At 47.8% G+C, this 10,384-nt stretch overlaps 3 annotated features.

Moving 5' to 3' along the window:
• Window positions 928-977: a silencer, noted in NCBI's record as "silent region_1743". NCBI's record gives its function as "represses an Ori minimal core promoter by ATAC-STARR-seq in GM12878 lymphoblastoid cells {active_cell/tissue: GM12878}" and the evidence as "EXISTENCE:reporter gene assay evidence [ECO:0000049][PMID:35858748]".
• Window positions 1,068-1,362: an enhancer, noted in NCBI's record as "tiled region #5902; K562 Activating DNase unmatched - State 4:PromP". NCBI's record gives its function as "activates a minimal TATA promoter and a strong SV40 promoter by Sharpr-MPRA in K562 cells {active_cell/tissue: K562}" and the evidence as "EXISTENCE:reporter gene assay evidence [ECO:0000049][PMID:27701403]".
• Window positions 1,078-1,207: a silencer, noted in NCBI's record as "silent region_1744". NCBI's record gives its function as "represses an Ori minimal core promoter by ATAC-STARR-seq in GM12878 lymphoblastoid cells {active_cell/tissue: GM12878}" and the evidence as "EXISTENCE:reporter gene assay evidence [ECO:0000049][PMID:35858748]".

A 10,384-nucleotide genomic window follows, 5' to 3' on the forward strand; every position in this document is an offset into this window, starting at 1 on the left:
GCAATCCGCCCACCTTGGCATGCTGCTCTCAGCGCACACAATGGGCATGGGAGAACAATGACGAGGAGAAAAACATCCCGCCCGCGCGTCCATGGGCTCACATCCTCCTTTCCCAAAGTGAAAGGATTACAGGCATGAGCCACCGCACCCAGCTTAGTCTACACTCTTGTATCTAGGTTTTCAGTGTCTAAGTCTCTTTCTTGGGTTTAAGTTGTAAGCTGCCTGGGATGAAAAGCGCCATGCCTTCTAATTCCTGGCTGTGACCTCCCCCAGTGGCTTTGTCAGAGGAATGACACCACCTGGTGACCAAGTATTTTTTTAAATAATTATTTGGGTTTTTGTTTGTTTGTTTTTATTTATTTTTTGAGATGGAGTTTCACTCTTGTTGCCTAGGCTGGAATGCAATGGCACAATCTCGGCTCACTGTAACCTCCGCCTCCCAGGTTCAAGCAATTCTCCTGCCTCAGCCTCCCAAGTAGCTGGGATTACAGGTGCATGTCACCATGCCTGACTAATTTTGCATTTTTAGTAGAAACGGGGTTTCACCATGTTGGTCAGCCTGGTCTCGAACTCCTGACCTCAAGTAATCCACCTGCCTCAACCTCCCAAAATGCTGGGATTACAGGCGTGAGCCACCGCGCCTGGCTAATGTTTTTAATAATTATGAAAATGCTTTCACGCCCAGTAGCCCTTGTTGCCTCACCTTCTGTGAGGGAAACAGAGCATGCACGATTTCCCCATTTCAGTGGATGGGGAAACTGAGGCTTTGGGATTTTGAACTCCTTGCACATGGGAGGTTAAGTGGCAACACTTGGCCTCCTACCAGGCACACCCCTGCCCCAACGCTGTGCACCGTAGGTCAGTAACTCTGAACTGTTTTGTTTGCCAGCTCAGGTTTTAATCCGTTTCAGCATCGGGCCGTGAGCAGTGGCCGCGGGGCTAGCAGGAGAGCCAGAATAAGCAGATTTGGCTTCTAATCTGACTCACCCAACTGGTTCAGAATGCAGCCAAACCGGGGAAATTTGGGTGAGCTCCTCCTCTTCCCCTCCCTCACTTGCTCTCGCAGTTGTCCTCTAGCACCTCTCTCTATCCCTCCCTCCCCGTCCCCCCGCCCCACTCCCCCAGCTCTGGGAGCGCATGCGGGGGCGGGGTCCTAGGAGGATGTGAGCCCATGGACACGCGGGCGGGATGTTTTTCTCCTCGTCATTGTTCTCCCATGCCCATTGTGTGCGCTGAGAGCAGCACGTCACCAAGTCGCCTGGCAGGCTCTCAGCAGAGCTGGGGAATGTTTCCGGAGTGGACTAATCCATTATGAATGGCCGAAACTTTTTAAAAGCTCTGGCGTTTCTTTGCATGGCCAGACTGGGAGAGCCAAAGAGAAGGAAGGATTTGGAAACTCCTGGCTTTGAGGCTACAGGTCCCAGGGACCTTGGCAGACCCGTGGTTTGCCAAGAGGGCCTTTCAGACTGGGCCTGCCACCCAGTGAGGGATCTAGGAATGTCACGTGGAGGGGAAATGGCAGGTGGGGCCGTGGATGGAGGGCTCAGCTGGAGGTGTGGAAGGAGTCAAAATTGTATTATTTTTTGTTTACAACACCTGACCCCAACTTGGGACTTGGGATGGCTCACACCTGAGTATGGGAAAGGACCTAGTCACCTTTGAAAGCTTCACTGAGCTCCCCCCAGAGGAAATGGAAAGTCAGAATTGTTTTGAAGTGGGTCAGTGTTTGCCAGTGGGTGAGTAATGCTCAGTGCTCCCAGCTCTTTCCTCCCAGAGAAAGCATTCCTCTATGCATCCCTCTCTTTACCACTAGGCTGGGGGTGCCATCTCTCCGAGGTGCCCAGTGCTTTGCGTACATTTCTTCATTGTTTGATTGGTCTTGTGAGAATCAACTCACAGCAAGACCAATAAGCTTGTGTAGTAACCTATTTCTTTAGATGAGGAAACTGAGTTTCACAGAGACTGAGATTGCTCCAGACCACGCAGCTACTTTGTGGCAGAGCTGGGACTGGAACCCAGGTCTGTGACACTCCAAAGTCCATGTTCTGCGACAGAATTTCTCAAGCATTCAGGTGCATAAGTGATGGCTGGGGTGCCAGCCGAGAGTGCAGATTTCTGGGCGCTGTCCCCTCTTCCTCATCCTAATTCAACAAATCAGAGTTGGGGGCAGGAATCTGCATTTTTGACAAATAACAGGTGATTCGGAAGCGGTTGGGGCAAGGTTGAGAAACACTGACTTGGGGCTCTGTTGTTGTTGTTATTGCTTGAGACAGAGTCTTGCTCTGTCGCCCAGGCTGGAGTGCAGTGGCACGATCTTGGCCCATTGCAACCTCCACCTCCCAGGTTCAAGCAGTTCTCCTGCCCCAGCCTCCCAGTTAGCTGGGATTACAGACGTGTGCTACCACGCCTGGCTAATTTTTTTTTATTCTCCAATTTAAAACTTTTAATTAAAAAGTAAACTTCAATGTCAAAAATGCAAACTTGGGGAGGGCAGAAGTATCACCCACAAGGCTGTCACTTCACACTTGGAGGGTTGCACAGCGGCCAGGCAGAGGCACTCCTCACATCCCAGATGGTGGGCGGCGGCCGGGCAGAGGTGCTCCTCACTTCCCAGACAGGGTGGCGGCCAGAAAGAGGCACTCCTCACTTCCCAGACAGGGCGGCGGCCAGAGAGAGGTGCTCCTCACTTGACACGTGGCTAATTTTTGTATTTTTAGTAGGGATGGGGTTTCACCATGTTGAGCAGGCTGGTCTTGAACTCCTGACCTCAGGTGATCCCGCTGCCTCAGCTTCCAAAGTGCTAAGATTACAGGCGTGAGCCACCACGCCCACCCAGGGCTCTGTTTTATGACGTCAGCCAAAAGAGCAGCAACCTGGTCTGAAAACAGGCGCAGGCTAGGGCCCTGCTGAGCCCTCAAGGGGCGGCCCTCTCCCCTCACTCCGCCTTCACCTATAGAGTGAAACCCAAGAGAAGTAGCCCCATCTCTCAGAAGGCAAAGGACCCATCTTCTGCCTAGAAAATCTCCCATTGCACTTTATAACATTTTCAACCCCCAGAGAGAAACCTGAACCACACCGGAACATTTAGTCATCCCTCAGAGGTTTATGGGCCCCTTGCCATGAGTAGGGGTTGGGACAGATACCACTCAGATGGGTGTAAAGCAGGTTTCTCAGAGATGGGTGCATCAGGACCCTCCTGCTTCAGAATTATCTGAGGGTCTGCTAAGAATGCAGAGTCCTGGGCCCTACCCCAGACCTCCAAAGTCAGAATCCCTGGAGGATGAACTCTGGGAATCTGCATTTTAAATACTCTCCTCAAGCAATTCTGTAGCAAGTAGACGTTTGAGAAGTGGTTTCCTGAGAGTCTGGGAAGGAAAGAAACTGGAAACGCTGTAGCTTTGGGTCCTGCGGGTTAAAGACCACAGTAAGACACCCAAACTACATTTGTCAGCCGGGAATCCCTGGAGTGCAGCTGTGGATTTGTGAAAGGAGAGCTGCACATGGCACGTGGAGGTCTGGGTTTGAATCCTGGCTTGGCTACTCTGTGATTCTGGACCAGTGACTTAATCTCACGGAGCTCAATTCCTCACATGCCAAATGGGATACTCTAGTCCACCTCCCAGCATCACCATGAGGACCTAGTGAGCATGCCGCAGCTCCGAATGAACAGCGCGGGCTTGTGCTGCCAGGAGCTCATTCTGCATGATGTGGCTCTAGGCAATGCCATCAATGGGCTCCTAGTAGCCTCAAGCTGGAGCAGACCCACTTCACTCTGCTGGGGAGCCAAGGGCTGGGGTGGGGTGGCTGGTTAGAGTTCAAAATCAGACTCTGGACCCATGGGGTGGCCCAGGGTACCCAAAGAGGGTCAGGGGTCAAGCTGTGCCTCACAAGACCCTGAAAAGGAAAGTGTAACCCTAGCAGGATAGCCTCGTGGTTAAGGGCATAGGCTCTAGAGCCAGAGGGCTCAAATCCTGGCTAGTGTACTTGCTAGCTGAGCGACCTTGGGCCACTTACTTCACCTCTCTGTGCCTCAGTTTTCTTATGTGTAATATGGAGATATAAAAAACATACCCACTTCCCTGACACAGGGGAAAAGTCCTCAAAATATGTCACACAATATTAGCCATTATTGACTATTAATGGAAGGATTTTATGCATGGGGAGTCTTTTAATAGTTGACTTCATAGTTGTCTGTGTCTGTGCAGGGCTGTGTGCCCTCCACATCCAAGTTTCTCCCTGGCTGCCCTAATCTGGAGATAATGCTGAAAATGGAGCCAGATGTCCAAGACTTCCAGCTGGGATTTATCCTCTTGGTAAATCTGCTAGGGTATAAGGATAAGGATGAAAGCAACGACAGCCAGATTAGGAAGTATCTCTATTAGTATCTCTTAAACCAAGGCTGCTTAAGAGAAAGCATAGATGGACATAAAAGGAATTTGACACCTGCTCTTCTCTCTTTTTTTTTTTTTTTTGAGGCAGAGCCTCACTCTGTTGCCCAGGCTGGAGTGCAGTAGCGCAATCCTGGCTCACTGCAACCTTGACATCCCGGGCTCAAGCCATCCTCCCACCCCAGCCTCCTGAGTAGTTACAACTACAGGTGTGCCCCAGCATGCCTGGCTAATTACTTTATTACTTGTAGAGACGGGATCTCGATATGTTGCTCGGGCTACTCTCTAACTCCTGGGCTCAAGGAATCCTCCTGCCTCGGCCTCCCACAGTGCTGGGATTACAGGTGTGAGCCACTGCACACGGCCTGCTCTTCTCTTCCATTTCCTTTAGGTTCAGTGAGGCATGGTGGCTCACGCCTATAATCCCAGCACTTTGGGAGGCCAAGACAGGTGGATCACTTGAGGGTCAGTTCAAGGCCAGCCTGGCCAACATGGTGAAACCCCGTCTCTACTAAAAGTACAAAAATTAGCCGAGCGTGGTGGTGCACATCTGTAATCCCAGATACTCAGGAGGCTGAGGCATGAGAATCGCTTGAACCCAGGAGGTGGAGGTTGTAGTGAGCCAAGATCGTGCCACTGCACTTTAGCCTGGGTGACACAGCAAGACTCCATCTCAAAAAAAAAAAAAAAAAAGAGACCAGCCAGGTACAGTGGCTCACGCCTGTAATCCCAGCACTTTGGGAGGCCAAGGTGGGCAGATCACCTGAGATCAGAAGTTCAAGACCATCCTGGCCAATGTGGTGAAACCCCGTCTCTACTAAAAATACAAAAATTAGCTGTGCGTGGTGGCGCGTGCCTGTAATCCCAACTATTCGGGAGGCTGCGGCAGGAGAATCCCTTGAACCAGGGAGTCAGAAGTTGCAGTGAGCCGAGATGGCGCCACTGCACTGCAGCCTGGCGACAGAGCAAGACTCTGTCTCAAAAAACAAACAAACAAACAAAAAACATTTCCTTTAGGTTCAACTTCCATGTGGACTGGGGGGCAGGGCTTGGGTAAGAGATGGGTGCAGGCAGTCTGTGAATTAAGGGATCTTTGCACGCTGAGAAACTGGGAAGGAATGGGATTCTCTGCCAGCTATGCTCTTCTCCATGAATCTGCTAAAAGGCAAGGAACCATCTCAAATCCTCTGAGAGGAAAGGAGATAGATTGGGGTTGGGCCCTGCTTCAGTCACTCCCCTGCTCCTGTCTCCTCCCCTCCTGCCCAATTTTCTTTTGGACAGATGCAGGCAAGAAGACTTGGAAGGTTCCTAGGAGGGAGTGGAAGTGTCAGGACAAATGTGTTACTTGGGCTCCCAGCCCCATTTTCTCCAAGATTCCTGACGGGATGTGAGAAAAAGCCCTCCTCTTGCCCCTCTCCTGAGGCCAACCAGCCGTCCCGAGAGCCCCTGTTCCTCCAGCTAGACCTCTGGGGGTTGGTCGGTAACCATCCTTGGTTTGGAAGATGCAGCTCTGTCTGAAGGATGCTGCTAAGTCGAGGGCCCCCCCCCCAGTGGGGAACAAGCACTGCAGCATGTCTGGCAGAACACCCCGGAAAGAGTGATGCCCAGAAAGGAGACACCACCATGAAGAGAGGACTGTGGCCAACTCGGACTCTCGTAACCCAGCCATCTCACAGAAGGTGGAGGAAGCCAACAAGGGCTTGTGGTCATTCAGCTGCATTTGCCAGCACTCGGCACGCCCCCTGAGTCAAGGCGGGGGCCATCCTAGGTGGCAAAGGGACAAGAAGACAAGGTCCACACCCACCAGGAATCCAGGCCAGTGGGAAACAGTTGGCTACATAGGCACAAAGGAAGAGCCGCTGATTCTATCTGGAAGGGGGTGACACACAAGCTGCACAGTGGAAGCTGGGTCGCATTTCTGCAGGACAGGGGAGAACAACCAAGGGGCCATGTTCAGAAACCACCGATCCTGCTGTGCTGGGGGAGGTTGGGAAATGATAGGGGAGGAGGATGGAAATGCATTGAAGACACTGAGCTTGGTCCTGTGCACCATGTGGGGGAGGGCAGCATCCATTATTTTTTTGGCTGATTATTAGAATTGATATGCTTATCATAAAAAAAATTGAGGGAGAAACAGAAATAGGATAAAGATTAAAATCACTCATATGCCAACTACCTATAAACAACCACTGCTAGTTAATATTTTAATGCTTTTGTAAACCAAGAATTTTGTGAGGCAGGTGTCAATTAATTTAGAGGTTTATTTTTCCAAGGTTAAGGATGCACATCCAGAAGACAGGTCTGTGCCTGTCTCCAAGGATGATTTTGAGGGCTTCAATATTTAAAGAAGAAAGGGTGGATATTGGTGAAAGGAAGAAATTTTTAAAAGGCATGGGTAGATAAGAGGCAAATGGTTGCATTCTTTTGAGTCTTTGATCAGCCCTTCACATGTGAGAGGTGGGCAGAGGACTAGTCACCTATGCATTCATCTAGCTCAGTGAATCTGCATTTTTACATAAGATAAAATAAACATAGGGGCCAGCATGGTGGCTCAAGCCTGTAATCCTAGCACTTTGGGAGGCCAAGGCAGGTGGATCACTTGAGCTCAGGAGTTCGAGACCAGCCTGGGCAACATGGCAAAACCTAATTTCTACAAAATATACAACAATTAGCTGGGCATAATGGCACATGCCTGCGGTCCCAGCTACTTGGGAGGCTGAGGTGGGAGGATCACCTGAGCCCAGGGAGGTAGAAGCTGCAGTGAGCTGTGATCACGCCACCATTCCCTCTCTATAATCTTTTGCTTTATTTATAAACAGTGCTGCAATAAATAACTTGGTACATACGTCATGTTTTACATGTACAACTCTGTATGCAGGATAACTTCCTGGAAGTGAAATTGCAGGTCAAAGGGCAGGTGCAGTTATCATTTTGGTGGATATCACCAAATAGCTCTCCATAGAAGTGATGTTAATTGCTTTAAAATGTCCTTCTTTTGCTGTAAATGAGGGACATAATAAAGTCTGAATTTAGAGCTGGTAAGGCTGGATTAGGGGAGGGTTGGCAGGGACCAGCTAGGAGGCTGCTACAATCGTACAGGAGAAACCGCCTGGAACTGAACTACGGGCCAGAACCACTGGACTAAGGCAGTAGAAGAAGCTGGAGCCCTGAATTCAAGGAACATGCCAGACTTAGAACTGACAGGACACAGACATGATTGGCATTTGGAGGTGAGGAAGCAAAGGTCTCTGACAGGGACGAGTGGGAAGCTGCATCTGAAGTCAGAAACAAAAGCAGCCCAACAAGCTGGGCGTGGTGGCTCACACCTGTAATCCCAGCACTTTGGGTGGCTAAGGCAGGAGGATCGCTTGGGCCCAGGAGTTCAAGACCAGCCTGGGCAAAAAAGGCGACACTCCGTCTCTATAAAAAATACAAAATTTAGCCAGGTGTGGTGGTGCGGTGCCTGTGGTTCCAGCCACACAGGAGACTGAGGCTGGAGGATCACCTGAGCCAGGGAGGTCGAGGGTGTAGTAAGCAGTGGTCACGCCACTGCACCCCAGCCCAGGCAACACAGCAAAACACTATCTCAAAAAAAAAAAAAAAAAAGAGCCCAACAGAGAAGGAAGGAGCCTCTCAGATTTCAGGAGCCTCTGTTTCACAGAGGGAGAGATATTAATTATGATGATGAAGCTCTCAATTTGTTTCATTCTCCTATGTTAGGAGAATGACCATTCTGAAAAAGATAAAACACACACATTAAGAGGGAATTGAAAATTTCCATTCATGAGCCGGGCACAGTGGCTCATGCCTGCAATCCCAGCACTTTGGGAGGCCAAGGCAGGTAGATCACTTGAGGTCAGCGGTTCGAGACCAGCCTGGCCAACATGGCGAAACACCATCTCTACAAAAAAAATACAAAAAATTAGCCAGGTGTGGTGGTGCACGCCTGTAATCCCAGCTACTTGAGAGGCTGAGGCAAGAGAATTGCTTGAACCCAGGAGGCAGAGGTTGCAATGAGCCAAGATCGCACCACTGCATTCCAGCATGAGACTGTCCAAAAAAAAGAAGGAAGGAAGGAAGGAAGGAAGGAAGGAAGGAAGGAAGGAAGGAGAAAGAAAGAAAGAAAGAAAGAGAAAGAAAGAAAGAAAAGAGAAATGAAATCTGCCAGCTGACCAGGATGGCTCACTCTTAAATATGATAAGACAAAGATCGTCAGATATTTGAAAAATGACCTTAGCATGAAAAAGAGACAAGGATAAATGGTGGTGGTGGTCAGGGCAGAGCTCCATAAGAAAGAGAAGTAATTTAGGAAACAGAAGACAAAAGAACATTTTAAATATTTCAGGCATTTGTCAGATAGATTGGAGAGGTGTTACATCCCTAAACAAGGACAGGATGCTATGAAAAGGAGTAATCAGAGAATAAGTGTGAACTACTGGAAATTAAAGATAGGATCACAGAAATAAAAAAGTCATTAGAAGGTGTTGGAAGGTAAGAGAATTAGTTTTATATCTAAATGATAGTATATCTAGATCCTAAAAATTTCCTTAGAGGTAAAAAAAGAAAAAAAGAAAGGTTACCTAAAAATTTCCTTAGAGGTAACAAAAGAAAGAAAAAAGAAAGAGTACCTCTAAAAATATAGGCATCAGACACTGGGTGTGGCGGCTCACGCCTTTAATCCCAGCACTTTGGGAGGCCAAGGCGGGTGTATCACCTGAGGTCAGGAGTTTGAGACCAGCCTGACCAACATGGAGAAACCCCGTCTCTACTAAAAATACAAAATTAGCCGTGCATGGTGGCACATGCCTGTAGTCCCAGCTACTCAGGAGGCTGAGGCAGGAGAATCACTTGAACCTGGGAGGCAGACATTGCGGTGAATTGAGATCTCACCATTGCACTCCAGCCTGGGCAACAAGAGCAAAACTCCATCTCAAAAAAAAAATATATATATATATATTTATATGTATATGTATATATAGTTATATGTGTATATATTTGCATATATATTTGTATATATATGCATATATATTTGCATATATATGTATATATTTGCATATATATGTGTATATATATTTGCATATATATGTGTGTATATATATTTGCATATATATGTGTATATATATTTGCATATATATATTTGCATATATATTTGTATATATATATATTTCCATATATATATATACATACACATATATATATGCATCAGACTGGTCTCAAAGTTCTCACCAGCAAAGGCTAGAACTATGCCTTCAATATTCAATGACCAAAGCAATTTTCAATCAAGAATTCTATATCTGTCCAAATTGCCATTCAAGTGTGAGGGTGGAGCAATGATACTTTCAGACATGAGGGACTCAGAAAACCTACATACCACACACTCCTTGAGAAATTAAAGATGTGGTACAGCAAAATGAGAGCATAAACAAAGAAGAAACAAGCAGAAGAAAGGAAGAGAAGGAGGGAGGGAGAGAGGGCTGCCAGGCCCAGGGCATCAGTGAAAGGAAGAAGCCCCAGGCCAACACCTATGTGGCGGAAGGGCAGAGGGCTCTGTGTAACAGGTCCTGAGAAATAAGGCACCTCTACTCATTTGCTGGAAAGGTGAGAGCAGACTTGAGGAAATGACAAGGGTATTATTAAAGAATAAGCCTGGCATGGTGGCACATGTCTGTAATCCCAGCTACTTAGAAAGATGGCTTGAGTCCAGCCTGGGTGACACGGTGAGACCCTGTCTAAGAAAGAGAGAGACAGAGAGAGAGAAAAAAGAGAAGGGAAACGAGAAGAAGAAAGGCAATTAGAAACTCTTATGAAAAACTAGAAGAAATAAAAGAAGAAAATTCATCATAGGACATTGTGTGGCTCTGTAATAAACAATATTTACATTGTCACAAAATGTAAACACTATTTATTGGATTTAAACATTTAGAAACCTATAAGCAAAGCACAGAAGATTAGAACATAATCTAATGAGAAAATTGGAACATAAATGTTGTCAACAT

Source organism: Homo sapiens, chromosome 1 (assembly GCF_000001405.40).
Source record: "Homo sapiens chromosome 1, GRCh38.p14 Primary Assembly".
Lineage (NCBI taxonomy): Eukaryota > Metazoa > Chordata > Mammalia > Primates > Hominidae > Homo > Homo sapiens.